The sequence below is a fragment of the Homo sapiens genome, chromosome 14 (genome assembly GCF_000001405.40).
Source record: "Homo sapiens chromosome 14, GRCh38.p14 Primary Assembly".
NCBI classification, from domain to species: Eukaryota; Metazoa; Chordata; class Mammalia; order Primates; family Hominidae; genus Homo; species Homo sapiens.
The window spans coordinates 82,449,633-82,469,979 of record NC_000014.9 but is presented as its reverse complement, the minus strand read 5'-3'; the positions used below and the strand labels follow the sequence as shown (position 1 = coordinate 82,469,979).

At 37.9% G+C, this 20,347-nt stretch overlaps 1 non-coding gene across 1 annotated transcript, besides 2 other annotated features; it reads right to left on the bottom strand.

Moving 5' to 3' along the window:
* Nucleotides 5,787–5,956: an enhancer, noted in NCBI's record as "experimental_37909 CRE fragment used in MPRA reporter constructs". NCBI's record gives its function as "activates a minimal promoter by MPRAs in K562 erythroleukemia cells, with activity observed for both the introgressed and non-introgressed 14:82930453 or rs74631963 variant alleles {active_cell/tissue: K562}" and the evidence as "EXISTENCE:reporter gene assay evidence [ECO:0000049][PMID:34662402]".
* Nucleotide 5,871: a transcriptional cis regulatory region, noted in NCBI's record as "Neanderthal adaptively introgressed variant 14:82930453 (GRCh37/hg19 assembly coordinates) or rs74631963 in the experimental_37909 CRE". NCBI's record gives its function as "modulates activity of the experimental_37909 enhancer by MPRAs in K562 erythroleukemia cells {active_cell/tissue: K562}" and the evidence as "EXISTENCE:reporter gene assay evidence [ECO:0000049][PMID:34662402]".
* On the bottom strand, nt 7,792–7,892 carry LOC124903428 (small nucleolar RNA U13). Its single transcript, XR_007064411.1, has one exon. It is a non-coding gene; the product is annotated as a small nucleolar RNA U13 (small nucleolar RNA).
* Nucleotides 7,893–20,347: the final 12,455 nt, after the last annotated feature.

The following is a 20,347-nucleotide window of genomic DNA, read 5'->3' as shown; positions in this document are numbered from 1 at the left end:
CATGTGCAGGAGGTGCAGGTTTGTTACATAGGTAAACAGGTGCCATGGTGGTTTGCTGCGTAGATCATCCCACCACCTAGGTACTAAGCCTAGCATCCATTAGCTATTTTCCTGATGTTTTCTCTCCTGCTCTGACAGGCCCCAGTGTGTGTTGCTCCCCTGCCATTTGTCCACATGATCTCATCATTCAACTTTCACTTACAAGTGAGAACATGTGGTGTTTAGTTTTCTGTTCCTGCATTGCTTGCTGAGGATAACAACTTCCAACTCCACCCATGTCCTCCCTGCAAAAGACATGATCTCATTCCAGTTTATGGCTGCATAGTATTCCATGGTGTATATGTACCACATTTTCTTTATCAGTTCTATCATTGACGGGCATTTAGGTTGATTCCATGTCTTTATTATTGTAAGTAGTGCTGCAATGAACATACATGTGCCATAGGTCTTTATAATATAATAATTTATATTCTTTGGGTATATACCCAGTAATGGGATTGCTGAGTCAAATGGTATTTCTGCTTCTAGGTCTTTGAGGAATCATCATACTGTCTTCTACAATGGTTGGACTAATTTACACTCCCACCAACCATGTAAAAATGTTCATTTTTCTTTACAACCTCGCTAGCATCTGTTTTTTTTTTTTTTTTGACTTTTTAATAATCACCATTCTGACTAGTGTGAGATGTTATCTCATTGTGGTGTTGATTTGCATTTCTCTAATGATCAGTGATGTTGAACTTTTTTTTCATGTTTGTTGGCTGCATGTATGTCATCTTTTGAGAATGTCTGTTCATGTCCTTTGCCCACTTTTTTATGGTTTTTTTTTCTTGCAAATTTGTTTAAGTTCCTTGTAGACTCTGGATATTAGACCTCTGTCAGATTGGATAGACTGCAAAACTTTTCTCCCATTCTGTAGATTGTCTATTCACTCTGATGACAGTTTCTTTTGCTGTGCAGAAGAAGCTCTTTAGTTTAGTTATATCCCAATTGTCAATTTTTGCTTTTGTCACAATTGCTTTTGGCATTTTTGTCATAACATCTTTGCCTGTACATGTGTCCTGAATGGTATTGCCTAGATCTCATTCTATGGTTATTATAGTTTTTAGTTTTACATTTAAGTCTTTAATCTGTCTTGAGTTAATTTTTGTATAAGGTGTAAGGAAGGGGCCCAGTTTCAATTTTCTGCATGTGGCTAGCCAGCACTCAGAGTACCATTTATTAAATAGGGAGTCCTTTCCCCACTGTTTGTTTTTGTCTGGTTTGTCAAAGATCAGATGGTTGTAGGTGTACAGTCATATTTCTGAGTTCTCTATTCTGTTCCATTGGTCTAGTGTCTGTTCTTGTATCAGTACCATACTGTTTTGGTTACTATAGCTTTGTAGTATATTGATTGAAGTCAGTAGCACAATGCCTCCAGCTTTATTTTTGTTTAAGATTGCCTTGGGCTTTTTGGGTTCCATATGAATTTTTAAATAGTTTTTTTCTAATTCTGTGAAGAATCTCAATGGTAGTTTAATGGGAATAACATTGAATTTTTAAGTTACTGTGGCTAATATGGCCATTTTTTATGTATTGATTTTTCCTATCCATGAGCATGGAATGTTTTTCCATTTGTTTGTGTCCTCTCTGATTTCTTTGAGCAGTTGTTTGTAGCTCTCCTTGAAGAGGTTCTTCACTTCCCTTGTTAGCTGTATTCCTAGGTATTTTATTATTTTTGTAGCAATTGTGAATGGGGTTCATTCATGATTTGGCTCTCTGCTTGCCTCTTGTTTGTCTATAGGAATGCTAGCAATTTTTGCACATTGATTTTGTATCCCAAGTCTTTGTGAAGTTGCTTATCAGCTTAAGAAGCTTTTGGGCTGAGACAACAGGGTTTTCTAGATACAGGATCATGTCATCTGCAAACAAAGATAATTCGACTTCCTCATTTTTTATTTAAATACACTTCATTTCTTTCTCTTGCCTGATTGCCCTGGTCATAACTTCCAATACTATATTGAAAAGGGATGGTGAGAGAGGGCATCCTTGTCTTATACTGTTTTTCAAGGGAAATACTTTCAGCTGTTGCCCATTCAGTATGATATTGTCTGTGGGTTTGCCATATGTGGCTCTTATTATTTTGAGGTATATTCCTTCGATACCTAGTTTATTGAGAGGTTTTTAACATGAAGAGATTTTGAATTTTATTGAAGGCCTTTTCTGCATCTATTGAGATAATCATGTGGTTTTGTCTTTAGTTCTGTTTATGTGATGAGTTACATTTATTGATTTGCATATGTTGAACCAACCCTGCATTTGGGGATGAAGCCATCTTGATTGTGGTGGATAAGCTTTTTTATGTGCTGCTGGATTCAGTTTGCCACTATTTTGTTGAAGATTCTTGCATCAATGTTCAACAAGGAAAATTGGCCTGCAGTTGTTGTGTGTGTGTGTGTGTGTGTGTTATATCTCTGCCAGGTTTTGGTATCAGGATAATGCTTGCCCATAGAATGAGTTAAGGAGGAGTCCCTTCTTTTCGATTATTTTTAATAGTTTCAGCAGAAATGATACTAGGTCTTCTTTGTACCTCTGGCATAATTCAGCTGTGAATCTATCTTGTCCTGAGCTCTTTTTGGTTGGTATGCTATTTATTACTGCCTCAATTTCAGAAATAATTTTTGGCCTATTCAGGGATTCAATTTCTTCCTTGTTCACTCTTAGGAGGGTGTATGTTTCCAGGAATTTATCCATTTCTTCACATTGTCTAGTTTATGAGAATAGAGGTGTTTACAGTATTCTTGGATGGTTGTTTGTATTTCTGTGGGGTCAGTGGTGATATCCCCCTTATTATTGCTGATTGTGTTTATTTTATTCTTCTCTCTTTTCTTTTTTATTTGTCTAGCTAGTAGTCTATTTTATTAATGTTTTTTTAAAAATAGCTCCTGGATTTGTTGATCTTTTGAAGGGTGTTTTATATATCTATTTCCTTCAGTTCAGCTCTGATCTTGGTTATTTTTTGTCTTTTGCTGTCTTTGGGGTTTGTTTGCTCTTGGTTCTCTAGTTCTTGCTGTTGAGATGTTAGGTTTTTAACTTGAGTTATTTCTAGCTTTTTGATGTGGGCACTTAGTTCTATAAGTTTATCTCTTAACACTGCTTTAGCTGTGATATGGTTTGGCTGTGTCCCCACCCAAATCTCACCGTGACTTGTAGTTCCCATAATCCCCATGTGTCATGGGAGGGACCCAGTGGGAGGTAACTGAAATATGGGGGCAGTTAGCCTCATGCTCTTCTCATGATAGTGAGTGAGTTCTCATGACATCTGATGGTTTTATAAGGGGTTTTTCCCCCTTTGCTTGGCACTTCTTCCTGGTGCCATGTGAAGAAGGATGTGTTTGTTTCACCTTCACCTTCCACCATCATTGTAAGTTTCCTGAGGCTTCTCCAGCCATGCTAAACTATGAGTCAGTTAAACCACTTTCCTTTACAAATTATCCAGTCTCAGGTATATACTTATTAGCAGTGTGAGAATGAACTAACACAAGCTGCATCCCAGAGATTCTGGTGCATTGTCTCTTTGTTCTCATTAGTTTTAAAGAACCTCTTGATTTCTACCTTAATTTCCTTATTTACCCAAGAATCATTCAGGAGCAGGTTGTTCATTTTTCATGTAGTTGTGTGGTTTTGAGTGAATTTCTTAATCTTGAGTCCTAATTTGATTGCTCTGTGGTCTGAGAGATTGTTATAATTTCAATTCTTTTGCATTTATTGAGAACTGTTTTACTTCTGATTATGTGATCAATTTTAGAGTAAATGCTGTGTGACAATGAGAAGAATGTATATTCTGTTGTTTTTGGGGTGGAGAGTTCTGTAGACACTTATCTGGTCCATTTGATCCAGAACTGAGTTCAGGTCCTGAATATCTTTGTTAATTTTCTGTCCCAATAATCTAATATTGTCAATGGGGTCTTAGAGTCTCTCACTACTATTGTGTGGGAGTATAAGTTTCTTTGTAGGTCTCTAAGAACTTGCTTTATGAAACTGGGTGCTCCAGGATTGGGTGCACAATATTTAGGATGGTGAGCTCTTCTTGTTGAACTGGGCCCTTTACCAATATGTAAAGGCCCCTTTCTGTCTTTTTTTTTTTTATCTTTGTTGCCTTAAAGTCTATTTTGTCAGAAACTATTTGCAACCCTTGCTTTTTGGTTTTCCATTTGTTTGGGTAAATTTTCCTCCATCTCTTTATTTTGAGCCTGTGTGTGTCTGCATTTAAGATAGGTTTCTTGAAGACAGCATACCAATGGGTCTTGGCTCATTATCCAGCTTGCCATTCTGTGTCTTTTAATTGGGGCATTTAGCCCATTTACATTTAAGGTTATTATTATGTGTGAATTTGGTCCTATCATCATGATGTTAGCTGGTCATGTTGCAGATTTGTTTATATGGTTACTTGACAGTGTCACTGTTCTGTGTACTTCTGTTTGTTTTTGTAGTGGCTGGTAACATGTTTTCCTTTCCATATTTAGTACTTCCTTCAGGAGTTCTAGCAAGGCAGGCCTGGTGGTAATGAATTCCCTCAGCATTTGCTTTTCTAAAAAGTATCTTATTTCTCTTTCATTTATGAAGTTTAGTTTGGCTGGATATGAAATTATGGCTTGCAAATTCTCTTCTCTAAGAATATTAAATATTGGCCTCCAATCTCTTCTTGCTTGTAGGGCTTCCATTGAGAGGTCTGCTGTTAGACTGATGGGTTTTCCGTTATAAGTGACCTGGCCTTTCTGGTCTGCCCTTAACTTTTTTTTTTCATTTTAACCCTGGAGAATCTGAAGAGTATGTGTTTTGGGGTTGATCTTCTCCTGGAGCATCTTACTGGGGTTCTCTGCAGTTTCTGAATTTGAATTTTGGCCTGTCTTGGTAGATTGGGGAAGTTCTCCGGAATGATATCCTGAAGTATGTTTTCCAACTTGGTTTCATTCTATCTTTTTTGGGTACCCCAATCAGTCATAGGTTCAGTCTCTTTACATAATCTTCTATTTCTCAGAGGTTTTATTCATTCTTTTCATTTCCTGTACTCTATTCACATCTACCTGTTTTATGTCAGAAAGATAGTCTCCAAGCTCTGAGATCGTTTTCTCCACTTGGTTTATTCAGCTATTAAGACTTGCAATTGCATTGTGAAGTTCTTGTGTTGTGTTTGTTAGCTCCATCAGGTTGGTTATGTTCCTCTCTAAGCCAGTTATTCTGGTTATCAGCTTCTGTATTGTTTTATCATGTTTCTTAGCTTCTTTGCATTGGGTTATAACATGCTCCTTTAGCTCTGGGAAGTTCATTATTAACCACCTTCTGAAGCTTACTTCTGTCAATTCGGACATCTCAGCCTCAGTCCAGTTTGTGTCCTTGCTGGAGAGGTGCTGCAACCATTTGGAGAAGAGACACTCTGTTTTTTTGAGTTTTCAGTGTTTTTGCATTTATTTTTTTTCATCTTTGGGGCTTATCTACCTCTGATCTTTGAGGTTGCTGATGTTTGGATGGGGTTTTTGTGGATTCTTTTTTGCTGAGTTGTTTTCTGTTGGTTTATTTTTCTTTTAACAATTAGGCCACTCTGTCATAGGGTTGCTGCAGTTTGCTGGGGATCTGCTACAGACCCTAGTTGCCTTGGTTTTTCCCATTCCTGGAGGTATCACCAATGAAGGCTGCAACCAGCAAAAATGGCAGCCAACTCCATCCTCTGGAATCTCCATCTCAGGGGGTTACAGACCTGTTGCCAGCTTGAACACACCTGTAGGGGGTAGCTAGAGACCCTTGTTGGGGAGTCTCAACCGATCAAGAGGAACGAGATCAGGAACCCACTTAAAGAAGCAGTCTGGCTGTGTTTTGGAAGAGCATGTATGCTGCATTGAGGGGAACACTTCCTTTTCCTGACCATTTTGGATTGGCCAAAGCCAGCAGGCTGGAATGGCTGAGTTGACCAAACTGCAGAGATGGCTGCTGCCCCTCCCTGCGAGGAGTTCATCCCAGGCAGAGATTAGAGAACTATCTATTGAACCCTGGCTGGAGTGGCTGAAGCCCCCACAGGGAGTTCCTGCCCAGTGTGGAGGAATGGATTGGGGCTCTGCTTGCAGAAGCAGTCTGGCCATTATCTGGGAAGGAAGCTGTGCATTGTGGGAGACTCTTCCTTGTCCAGACCACCTGTGTTCTTCAAAGCTGGCAGGGTGAAATAACTGAATCTACTGAAACACAGAGAGGGCAGCCACCCCTCCCCCCAGGAACTCAGTCCTGTCTCAGGCAGACTCCAGCCTTTTGTCTTTGGCTGGCTGGAATTCCAAGCCTGTGGGTCTTAACTTGTGAGGTGCTGTGGAAGTGGGGCCCACAGAGTGATGCTGCTTGGCTTCCTGGATTCAGCCCCTTCCTAGGAATATGTACAGATAGATTTCCTGCCTTGCTGGGGATCCCAGGATAGGAGTATGTAAAACTCCTGGGTCTCTATGTGTGCCTGCATGGCTGTTCTACTGAGACTCCACACAGCTCTGTGTGTTGGACCCAGGGTCCTGGTGATGTGGGCTCATGAGGTGATCTCCTGATCCATGGGTTGCAGAGATGCATGGGAGAAGCACAGTTTCTTGGGACGGGTCGCACAATCACTCACCACTTCCTTTAACTGGGAGTGGGAGTTCTTTGGCTCTGTGCTGCTTCCAGCTGGGCCATTATCCCTTCCTGCTTTTCTTCTTTCTCTGCGGGCTGGGCTGTTTGCCTAGTCAATCCCAATACAAGAACCTGGATATTTCAACTGAAGGTGCTGAATTCACTTGCCCATTTTCATTTCTCTCCATAAGTGTCATGAACCAAAGTAGCTTCTAATCAGCCATTTTCTATCTCATTCTTTTTTAGGGATGACTAATATTCCTCTGTGTGTGTGTGTGTGTGTGTGTGTGTGTGTGTGTGTGTGTGTGTGTGTATCAATGTCTTTGTCTAGTCATCTGTCAGCAGACATTTAGATGGTTTGCATTTTGGCTATTGTAAATAATGCTGCAATGAGCACAGACATCCAGATATCTTTGTTAGGTATTGATTTTATTTTCTTTGGGTATATGCCCAGAAGGGGGATTGCTGGATCATACTGTAGTTCTGTTTTTAATTTCTTTAGAGATCTCCATACCATTTTTCTTAATGGCTGGATCTACTTTTCCTCCAACAGTGTAAAAGAGTTCCCTTTTCTCTACATCCTCATCAAGATTTGTTATCTTTTAGAGTTCCATTTTCTCCATACATTCACCAACATTTGTTATATTTTGATTTTTTGATAATAGCTATCTTAATGGGTGTGAAATGGTATCTCATAGTGGTTCTAATTTGCAATTTTCTAAAGATTAACGACGTTGAGCACTTTTTCATATGTGGAGCACCAACATATACCTGTTTGTGACATTTATGTCTTCTTTAGAGAAATATCTACGTAGGTCCTTGGCCCATTTTTCAACCAAGTTATTTATTTTTCTACTCTTGAGTTATGTGAGTTCTTTAACCCCTTTGGATATTAACTCCTTATCACATATATGATTTTTCAGTATTTTTTCTCAGTTTAAAGCCTGTCATTTCATGGTGATAATTTTTTTCCTTTCTTGTGCAGAAGTTTTAGTTTAATGTAATTCTACTTATTTATTATTGTTTTTTTGTGGCCTAGGCTTTAGTTGTGATACATAAAAAATCATTGCCAAAGCCAATGTCCAGGAGCTTTTCTCCTATGTTTTCTTCTAAGAGTTTTAGAGTTTCTGTCTCAACATTTAGGTTTCTTATTCTTTTTTTTTCTCCCCACATCAAATAGGTAATGTGCCAACATCTTAAGGTTTAAGGGAGGCACATCTCACACATGAGTGTGAAATCCCAATCCCTATTCTTATGAACCACAAAAGGATCTTTTATCCATTTTGAGTTGATTTTTGTGTACGGTGTAAGATAAGCATCTAATTTCATCATTTTGCTTGTGAAAATCCAGTTTTTCCAGCACCATTTATTGAGGAGACTATCCTTTCCCTGTTGTGCCCTCTTGACACTTGTCTCAAAAATTATTTGACTGCATATATTTGAATTTATTTCTGGGCTATTGTTTCACTGGTCCATGTGTCTGTTTTTATGCCAGTACCATACTGTTTGATGTATTACTATACCTTTCTAACATAATTTTAAATCAGGAAGTGTGTGAGGTACCACCATTTCTAATCACTAAACAAATGCCCTGTATATTTTTCAGAAAGCTGAAAACAAGGATTCCTTTGCATTTATTTTTAGGTCATGGTCTCTGAGATTAAGCATTATTTTTGGTAAGGTGATCACTGCTATGTTTTTCCTAATCTTATAAATATTTTTGTTTGTTAAATTTAAATCATGGTCCCTACAGCTAAGATTATAGAATAATGACATTTTCCCTTGAAGGGTCTTAGAATAATGTATTGCTAGTCCAGGGTATAATATGTAGAACCTTAAAACTTTTGGAAAAAATATAACCCTTGAGAAATAAATCCAAGAAAAAGATTCTCATCAATTGCAGAGAAAAATAAACTTCCTCATTCACAAAACAGAGCATCCATCATTTTTTTCCAACTGAAATAAATATAACCTGAAAGCAAACGACAGTGGATTCTCTTTGCCTTTCCATGGGATTACTTCCTCACGAATGTGAACGATTTGGAAAACAAATAAATAAGACAAAATATAACCTTGTTTTAAATTTGAAATTTCAGATTGAGCATGAAAGAGAAATGATAGTTTGTTTCACCATTAGCTATCAATCAATAAAGTATGCTAAATGGTAGATGATGTTCTCTAAATATATTTTACAGAAATATATAATGTACACTTTTAATTAATAATTGCTTTGACACTTGGTAGTTGTCTCTTAGGATACTGCATTTCACATTTTACTATTTATACACTATCTTTAGAGAAAGTTGATAACAATTTTGTTCTTTTTCATCAAACAACTTTGTACTTATGATAATTTCTATGATGTCTAAAGTTAGTCTTTTTATTCACATCATATCCTGACTGACATTTTTCTGACCACATGCCAAGAGCAAAAAGAAGAAAGAATTGGTTTTAAGACTCTTACAGGATAAGTTCCTATGACTTTAAAATGTCTAGATGAAAAAAGAAAATCTGCAGAAGAAATAAATTTGTCAAAAGCTTTTATATAATGACATATTGACAAATATGTGCAAGTTAAATTTTTTAAAGGCGTTCAGATATTGTTTGTTATATATTTGTTTGTTGCTTAATAATATTTTCATTCTTGATTTTTTTTTTTTTTTTTGAGACAGGTTCTTGCTCTGTCTCCCAAGTTGGAGTGCAGTGGCACAATCCTGGCTTACTGTAGCATTGACCACCCAGGCTCAAACAATCCTCCAGACTCAGCTTCCCAAGTAGATGGAACTACAGGCACACACCACCACACCCAGATAATTTTTGTATGTTTTGTAGAGACAAGGTATTGTCATCTTGCCCAGGTTGGTCTCGAACTCCTGAGCTGAAATGATCCTCCCACCTGAGCCTCCCAAATTGCGGGGATTACAGGTGTGAGCCAGCATTCCCAGCCCATTCTTGATTGTAAAACCTATAAAAGCTATCTTTATCACAACAACTGTGACTGACTTTATCACTATTCATAGATCGAATATCTGAAATTTGGGGAGTCCCTTGTTCACTATTCTTGACGGGAAATTGAACCAGCAGCCCTTGTGGATGTGACTGCCTATGCAAAGATAAATGTAAAGGTTTGTCATATTTATTCAATTCTCTTCTACAGTCAGGACGCCCCTGCACATAGTTTGTGTTGACTCCACTTTTTTGGCACATCTATTAGTTGAATCTAAAGGGTATATTACAAGGATCACAAATGATGCAGAAAAAGACAAACTGGGGGAGAGAGGTTTCATTGAGCAAAATGACTGGATTTCAGCCAAGCCAATCCCTCATGGACATCAATGTACATGAGAATGACTGAAGTCAAGTATGAAAATTGCTACCTATGGCTTATTACCCTCATGTGGTCATGTCACCCTTTTAGGTCAAGTTCTATAGCAAGGCCAGGATTTCCAAAATGTCGAAGGCAAAGTTGTTGCCATAAACCTCATTAAAATAGAAAACTTCATTATTAAAGAGATGTTTTATGTAATAAATGCCAACTTATAAACCCTGAAACAACCAGCAATAGCAAATTTGTAGCACAGCTTAGTGATTCTCAGACCGAAGTTTGAATTTTAGTCCTGAGCCCGACTTTTGTTTAATGGATTATGCTACATTTCTGAGAGCAGGACCGCAGGGTGGCTAAAAATGTGGAGTGAGTGTGTGTGTGTGTGTGTGTGTGTGTGTGTGTGTTCAAACACATTTTGGGGGTTCAGACAAGTCAGATAATTTTGCTAAGTGTTTACCATCTTATGTTTTACCTTTATTAAAAACAATAATTATTGGGCAGACCAAGATTTTCTTTTTCTTTTGACATAATAATTTGGACCTACTTTCCTATTTTGTCACAGTTTTCTGTTTAGTTTATCAGTCTATTTCTGTGGCTTTACAAAGTTAGAGGTTTATTCCTTTAACTGTATTGCCAATATTCACTTTTACTTTTTTGATGAACATAAAAATATCCCTGTTGTTACAGGGTTGCTCCCACAGTACTCAACTTAAACTTCTTAAAATATCCCGGTTGTTACAGGGTTCCTCCCACAGTACTCAACTTAAACTTCTTAACTAATATTTGATAGAATGGTGAGGGAATGAATGCCTGAGGTTACAGTGCAAGTGGCAAAACAGAAGCAGAGAGACTGTGTAACTACAAAGAAGTACAAGGCAGGGACAGCTTATCCGTTGTTCCCTAGGCTACCAGTCAAATGTGACTACATTTACATGATTTCAGGAAAAAAAAATGGTAATATCTAAAAATACATTTTATTTATGCTGTCAAGGTTGAGTGTATGTGTGTGTGTGTGTGTGTGTACATAAAATGATACAATAATTCAGTTAGCTTAATTCAATAACTTACATTCTAAGGAAATAAATAAGAGATAAAACTCATTAACAAGATTTTCCAGTGGGATTATTTTAATGACTTCTTTTTAATAGTTTTACTTTGGTCTGTGGTCAATCAAATGCTGTAGACAACTTAGTTTTCTCTAACTGATTTCCTTGGAAGAAATCATGGCACCACAGAGTTATACAAAAAGATAAGGATTGTGGCAGTGACTGCTAGATGTTAACAGGAGCCTTCCTTCTAAAGGCACGGGGGGATAACAATATTGAACTTCTGTGCAATTAGATGTAGCCATGTGACTAAATTAGAGCTAATGGAATACAGGTTGAAGTGATAGGCCACACTTCCCGGCTAGGCCCATGGTAAACTTCCTGTGTGATCCTTGCTCTCTTTTGCTTCTGCCTCCAGCTGATGGGCAGGGCCCTGTGACATCACTTGCAGATAAGCTGCCCAGGGGAACCTTTCAGATAAGAAGGCCTGTTCCATGGAATGTTCCATGATTGAGATATGAAATTTTATTTTGCTCAGCAATTGGAATGTCGGGGTTTTGAGTTATGGCACTTAGCCTACACTAACTAGTAAAATGATATTCTGGTTAATGAATGTTTTTTAACTGACTAACTTTTAAATACTTTACAGAATACATTGTTGTTATGGAATAATTTCTATAATAATAATTCTTGTTTATTAAGAATACTTTAAACATACACTAAAAGATTTGTGCGATGAATCTACATACATCACCTACTTTAAACAATTATTTACTTTCTGTCATATTGACTTTATCATTCTTACTATGTATGTGCATTGCTTTTTAATTTTTTTCTTAATTTGAAAGTAAGGTACAGCTGGGCACGGTGGCTCACACCTGTAATTCCAGCATTTTGGGAGGCTGAGGTGGGCAGATCACTTGAGATCAGGAGTTTGAGACCAGCCTCACCAACACGGTAAAACTCTACCTCTACTAAAAATACAAAAATTAGGTGGGCATGCTGGTGGGGAGCTGTATCCCAGCTACTCGGGAGGCTGAGGCAGGAGAATCGCTTAAACCTGGGAGGCAGAGGTTGCAGTGAGCTGAGATGCTGCTGCTGCATGCCAGCCAGGGCAATAAAGTGAGACTCTGTCTCAAAAAAAAAAAAAAAAAGTAAGGTACAGAAGTCTACTTCAGAATGCATTTTTAAAGATAGAAAATAATAATAATGGTTTTCTAGTGTCATCTAATATCTAGTCCACACTCATATTCTCAATGATTTCAGCAACTGGATTTTATAACTGCTTTTAATAATTTGGAGCCCGAGTCAGAATTCAGGCTCCACTTTTAGTTGCTATATCTCTTTAATCTCTGAGACCAGAAGAGTGCTGCTTCTTCCTACTTGTTCATCATTATTATCTTCTCCTTTTCTGTGTGCTTTCATTTCTTATAGCCACTGTAACAAATTACCACAAATGCAGTGGCTTAAAACAATACAAATATATTCTCTTATAGTTCTAAAATTTAGACGTCCAAAAGTAGTCTCAAGGGGCTAAACTCAAAGTGTCATCACAGCTGGGTCCTTCAGTGAGTCCATGAACGTCTGCTCCTTTCCTGTTCACTTCTAGGGGATTCCAGCATTCCTTGGCCTCTGGGCACATTCCTCTAAGCTCTGCTTCTGTAGGCACATCACCTTTTATCCTGCTATAGCCAAGTTTCCCTCTGTATCCCTCTTATAAGGACACTTGGGATTACATTGATGGCTTACTATGTAAACACCAGGATAATCTTTTCTTAAGAACCCTAAGCTGGGCACGGTGGCTCACGCCTGTAATCCCAGCACTTTGGGAAGCCGAGGCAGGCAGATCACCTGAGGTCAGGAGTTTGAGACCAGCCTGGCCAACATGGTGAAACCCCGTCTCTACCCAAAATACAAAAATTAGCCGGGTGTGGTGGCATGCATCTGTAATCCCAGCTACTGTTGAGGCTGAGGCAGGAGAATCACTTGAACCTGGGAGGTGGAGGTTGCAGTAAGCTGAGATCGTGCCAATGCACTTCAGCCTGTGTGACAAAGCAAGACTCTGTCTCAAAAACAAAACAAAACAAAAAAACCCTAAACACATATTTAAAGTCTTTTTTTGCCATAAAATGTGACATTCACTGATTCCAAGGATTAGGATATGGACATCGTGGTGGGCCATTCTGCAGCCCACCATAGTATGCATATTATTGTTTATTTGGGAAAACCAGGCCAGTTGCCTTACCGTGTGCCTACATTCTGGATTTGCCTATTACTTACCTGTGTTATTTAACTTGTTTCTCTATGTTTTATATTTCTTAAATGATAGAGATTCAGCCTCAGGCTTGAAGAAATCTGGACTACACATACTTGGCAAAAATAATTTACAGGAGATGCTGTGACCTTCAAGTCACATAATGTTGGAGAATGTGACCTGTCAGGTTGTTTAATTATCAGTGAAACTAATTTTGGTGACATTGTTAAAGTGGTCACTGCCAGGTATTGCATTACAAAAAAGACTTTTTTTTTTTTTTTTTTTGCAATTTCAAGTAATCTACCAAGTTCATTTTAACATGATGTGACCATCCTATTCCATAATATTTTACCTAGCTTTTAGCCACCGTTGATGATCGTCCTATCTCATGTTACCTATTTTTATTTCTGCCTCTTTTGCAAAATCTCTGAAAACCTTGCTAATCCCTTCTTTCTTCCTTTACAAACACAGTTCTGTGAAGGTAATTTAATCTTTCTTTGATACTAAAAAATCTTATAAACTCTGGGGTCATCACTTGAACATTAATTTTCTTTGAACAGTTATAGAATAACAAGGAAGAAAATTCTGATGATTTAAGAGCTCCCGCTACAAGGATCCTGTTTTAAAACGTTTTGAAACAAAAACAATTCCTATAGCTTACAGTAATTTAAAAAAAAAATGAACAATTTATTGGAGCAGACCTAGAACAGTAATGATATCATAGGCATATCAAAAGTGAAGCTGAAATATTGTGTTCTGTTCTCTGCATTATAGTAAGAGGTTACCACCTTTTGGAAGTTGGTGTTTTTTGATGTCATAGTTTATGTTGGCTCACATGAAATTTGCCTTGATGTGGAAAGCCCTCTCAGTAGGGGTTATCAGACCTGTTTTTCTGAAAGGGAGCTGCTTATGTCCAGATGGAGCTCACTGTGAGAATGTGGTCATGATCACCTTTCCATGTGAATTTCATTCTCAAAAGATTATAATCATCTTGCCAGCAGCAAACTGATCAAAATTCCCCTGGAAATTTTATTTGATTGAAATTTGGTGTCATTTTCTATAGTATCCATTTCTAAAACCTTCTACAGAGTTAGTAATGAAACAACTCTGTTGCCAAAAGTAAGTCAGAATGCCAAAGCCAATGGCATATAAGATGCTGACCAGCTGTTTCCTTTCTCCGGTAAGTACCGACTCTGAGGATAAACAGGAAAACTGTTAGGATCAGGACTTTTGGTTGGATGGGATTAACTTCCTGACTGAGATATGTGAAGATGGCAAGACCTATAATTTTATTTCCTGAATATATTCATGAGGAATGACAGCCAGATCTTCAAATACACCAAAATAAGATAGAGAAAAATATTTTTATAAGTTCAAACATTTGAATTCTTTTTGTTTTTCCTACTAGAAAGTTTTCCCACATCACAGAGTGAGTTAATATTTAATTTTGCTTTGGATTTTTTTTTTTTTATTTTTCTATAGGAGGACCAACTACTTAACAATATAGTATTGACAGAGACAAAATACTATCTTGAAATCCCTAAAAGCTGCTGAAGAGGAGCTTTTCAGACAGAAAGTGGTAAATTACAAGATATTTCGGTTTATGGACTTAAAAAACAGAAGCTGTGCTATGTTAGAAAGGAGAGGATTGGCCAGGCATAGTGACTCATGCCTGTAATCCCAGCACTTTGGGAGGCCAAGGCAGGTGGATCACCTGAGGTCAGGAGTTCAAGATCAGCCTCACCAATATGGTGAAACCCCATATGTCTCTACTAAAAATACAAAAATTAGCTGGGGGTGGTGGCAGGCACCTATAATCCCAGCTACTCAGGAGGCTGAGACAGGACAGTTGCTTGAACTCAGGAGGCAGAGGTGAGTGAGATGGTGCCACTGCACTGCAGCCTGTGTGACAGAGCAAGATTCTGTCTCAAAAAAATAAATAAATAAATAAAAAGGAAAAGAAAAAAAAGAAAGGAGAGGATCATTGTGGAGTCAGGGTAGGTGGTGCTTCTCAATTCTCAATGTTTCTGATGCTGGAATAAATCCTGATCTAAGGTTCCTGGCACCAGCTGGAGCCCTGGCAAGGTTGTGCCTCAATACCAGAAAATCTCATCATCTGAAGTTCTTCCTCTCTGAGATCAGTCTTAGAAGGCCTTGGGTAGCTGATGATTCTAAATGTAATGCTAGGAAATGGTTTCTATTCAAGGATATACTTAAAAATGATCCTCTTATTGCATGGCAGAAGCAGGAGCAGTACCCAGCCTCCATTACTGGGCTCTGATTCCAAGATCCAGTGAAGGCAGGGATATGACATCACTTCCTTTTCCTCTAGTTCAGTGATCCTCAAACTTTAGCGCCCCTCAGAATCCCATGGGTGGCTTGCTCAAACACGCATTTCTGGACTCCACCCCCAGGGTCATGAGAATTTGCATTTGTGACAAATTCTCAGGTGATGCTTCTGCTGCCCACCTTGGGGACCACACTTTCCCATTTTTTGATGGGAATAATGTCAGAGACTCAAACCTAGCTCTTTCACTTAATCTGCTCCTTCTCTCCAACGTGGACTGATGAGAACATTGCCTCCTTGATCAAAGCAGTGCTTGACAACCCAACTATGCTGACTTTCTCCAGCCAGGGCCTTCGTACCTCCCTCCCTGTGGCCAGACAAAAGGGAGTATCTCATCACCCAAAGAACACTGGCAGGTGTGGCTGAGAACATTTCTGTCTGGCATAATACTGGGTTGGGGCACAATATATTCCTGAATAATTAGTCATTTTGCAAGACTGCATGCCCCTAGCACCATAGAAACTCCATGGGTCAGGGAACGTGCTGTCTTGCCTCAGACTTGACTCCCCAAAACTAACATTTATAAAGCAGATATTCTGCTTCTACTCAGTGGCTAGCTGGACTTCACTGTAGTTAAGTCCACTAAAATATGCTAAGCCAGACTTATTTCTCCCATTGAGGCACTCCACACATCAGTGAGGCCTTAGAGTGGCTAATACAGACGGGGTTAGAGCCACAGGAGAGGGGTAACCTACCCACTTGTGTGTTCTGCTAGTTCCTTGCTCCTTAAGTATTTCTATGGCACAGAATTGTCTGTGGTCAAAATTGTGTGGAGTGATATCCAACTTCATAAGAATATGCCATTCCTTCCTATAGCATTTTTTAATTCTTTCATTAAAACAACATGCTCTCGCAGTTCAAAATGTTAAGAGATAGGAAATGGTACCAAGAAGAAAGAAATGGTCTCTTGCTGTCACAGTCTATGCAATTACTTGCGGGAGGCAAATATTAAATAATAACAACAGAAATAATGACTAATCACACTGTTATGAATGATCTGAAGGAGAAACATAGCAGACAATAAAAGCTTGTTACATAGGACCTGCTCCGGTCTGATATCTAAGAAGGTGTCATTTGAGCAGTATTCATTACATTTGTTCAACACTTATTCCACAGATCTACTAAACCTCCACTCTGTGAAAAGCACAATTAAACCAGCTCCCAGTCTTTCTAGAGCAGAATTGTCCAAAAAAAAAAAAAAAAAAAAAAAACTTTCTGCAGTGATATAGACATTGTCTATAATTTCTGCACTGTCCACTAAGCAGCTTCTAGTCACGTGAGCCCATTGAGCATTTGAAATACTATTAGTGTGACTAAGAAATTCTTTGCATTTGCAGGTAAAAGTTTTTACAAGTCACATGTGGCTAATAACCACAAAACTAGACAGTCCTTGCAAACTCTATGGTAACTAAAAAAAAAAGATACATATTTTTGTAAGAAAAAGATGTCAAGGCGTAAAGATTATTAGAATGTGCAAACTTTGGGAAATAGATGAAGACCTGATATGGCAGAAAGCCAAATATTTAGTTCATACCCAACACATTTCCAGCCTTGCTTATTGTAACCTTCTGTTTTCTAGCTACTTATTCACATTTGTTTGAATCAACCTAACATATTTCTGCCAAGATCACTGCTCTCCCTTGCCATTTTGTCTGCCTCTTCAATCTCTTGCCCCAGAATCTTATTTATCTTTCTTCCCCTCAATTGTAAATCTCTTTCTCTCTCTCTCTCCCTGTCTCTCTCTGTCTCTTTCTCTCTGTCTCTGTCTTTCTTTGCCATTGAAAATATTCACAGTCCTATGTTGGCCTCCTTTGGGCTTTGATATAGCCACAGAATTTTATTTACTTCCTATATTTTCTTCTCATGTTCCTGTACAAGAAAATTTCCTCATGCCAACAACTTTGATTCAATATTGACCATACTAACCATATGTTGTACAAGTATAAATGTTTAATTTTTATCTGTTAAATAAACAACCCAGTGAAGTTCGGAGAGTTCATTAGCCAACATTACACAGTCTGTATTTATTTATTTGTTCAAGTATTTATGGTGTGTATCCTTCATAAAAGTCTAAGTTCATTTAGGAAAAAAAAATCTGTGTTTATTCACTAATATCTTTTCATTGTCTAGTACAGTGTCTGGCTTAGACTAAAGGCTCAATAAATAAATATTTATTATATAAATAAATCACAAAATATATGTCCTCTTGCTTTTTAGTAAAGAGCACAATCAATTGTACTTTCTAAGTCTCTTTGTGAAAATAATGCGCATGCTTAACTTTTTGCTCCTTATCACCAATTTTATGTAAATAATTTACTAAGAATCCCAATGTTAAATTCAATAAACAGGAAGTCATTGGCCTGAGGCTGTCTCCTTACTTTGTGTTCCTACCTAAGGAATTGCAATGTAAATTAATATGTAAACAAATTGAAAATCTAACCTAGAAGTGTAACAAACAGTGTAGCAGACAGCTCAGCCAATGACAAGTAGCCAAGTTTCAGCCAATCACTTGCTGCCAACTGATCAGACCATGTTTCAAGAAAGGAAATGCTGAGCTGTAACCAATCAAGCTAGAGTGGCCACCCCCATTAGCCTCAAAGGATACAATCTAAGATTCCCAGTAGATGCCTGAAACTTTGCATACTACTGAACCCTCATTTGGAACATGTTTCTGTTCATGTCTTGTGCTCAAAAATGTAATGCCTTTTCCATCTCACCTAAGCACTTTTAACATACCATGGTTGTAATTTTTATACTTTGAGGTGTGACAGCAAAACTAACACAGATTTCTTTTTCCTTCTTCACAATTTCATGGATGGAAAATCCATTCTTATCGTCGATCTTCGTAACCTCAGCATATAATTTTTTTCCTTCCTTATTAAGTCAAGAACTTTCATCTTTTCATTTAAAGTAGGCACTTCACCACTTCTTTGGCATATCTGAATTGCCCCATTATTGCACTTTGGGCCAATATAAAGTAAAATAAGGATGACTTGAACCCAAGCATTGCAATATCTGACACTGAAAAGGCTAATAGTGACTAGCCGGCAAGTAGTGTAGACAGCGTGGATATACTGGGCAGAGGGATGATTCACGTTCAGGTGAGATGGAGCAGTATAGCACAGGAGTTTGTCACACTACTCAGAATAATGGGAAATTTAAAAAATATGAGTTATTTATTTTTGTAGTAGTCTATTTAATATTTTCAAAAGTTGATTGACTGTGGATACATGAAACACTGGAAAGCAAAACTGCAGACAAGGGGACACTACTGTATTTTTGCAGTTGACTTCCATTTTCTGTCTATAAATACTTCCTGCCTGCATTGTGGCAGGGAGCTCACTGATACTCTCCTGTTTCTGAGTGCTGCCTAATTTGTGAATCATTCTTTGCTCAAATAAACTCTGCTAAATTTAAATAGTCAGATTTTTTCTTTTAACACCGGCATAAATCTCCTTTTCCAGTAGGAGAACAATAGTGATTTTTTAGCCACATAATTGATTATTTATTTACATTTATGTGATGCATTTCAGAACTTCTTATTGCTGGTCACATTGGAGCAATAATGTGGTGGGAGGGAATGGAATATAGAATGAAAGATTATGATACCAGCTGATGTGAATGCTATATACATTATGTCTTGATAAATTGAGTTTGAATCAAAAGGCAATTAAATATTTTTGGTACCTTTAGAAATTTTTGAAAAGGGGATTCTGCAATAAATTGGCTGCATTTACTCCAAACAAAAAGTATGACTACAACAACAAGAAAAATAGCAAAAATGAGAGATAACTTCCTCTTTAGCTTGCAGAACTGGAGCATGAGCAGTTTTAGTGATATTAGTGTTAGGCAAGCCTAGGTACGCTGGTATGTTTCTCTCCATGAATTAAATCCAGAAAATAAAATCAGTCCCTTTTCTCTATGTTAAAATTTGGTTTTACTTTACAATAGTGATTCATTCAAGCATTTGTGAGTTGGATCATCCAAAAATGATCACGCATCTCAGAAAAGCAAAGCAAAGGGGAGGGTGGGAGGTTTCCCTGTGCCAGAGCCCCTGCTATCCATCACTACCAGGGACAGAGAGGAGATGGCCCTTTAATAGAAACTGGCTAATTTCTTGAGAAATATCTCATTAAGCCCGCCCTTCCTGAGTGGCTTCTCCATTAAAATTTGATAAATGAATTCTGCCATTGCCAATTCCAGCCTGTCCTTCTTTCCCTTAATGAAATGAAGACGCGTCATGCTGGCAAGCACTCCAGACACAGATAATTATTCATGGAATGCTAGAAGTGCTGTAGTCACCCAGCCCATCACTGCTCCACAGACACTGGAGATGGGACCTTCAGAAGCCTGAATGATTTTTGAATAGAGATTTATTTATATTTTACTCAGGGGGAAACAAATCACATGGGTTTACATACTCTTCCTTTTAGCTTTTCGCCCATATTGTTTTTCCACCTCAGATCACAGTGTATGTGTGGGAGTGAGTATGCATATGATATATGTTTGGCACTTTTACTTACTGATTTAAAATATAACTCAGTTTGATTAAAATTAATATTATTTTCAAGTTGGAATTGTTTTTAATAATATGCCTTTAGGAGAGGCTATATTTCATGATGCTATTTTCTTTTCAAACATTAGTTTTAAGACCTATGTAGGCAAACTATGTAGTACCAAACTATATAATTTATTTCTTCAAAGCCTCTGTTACTGCTGGCTAGCCTTAACTATCTTTTAACTAGTGTTTTTCC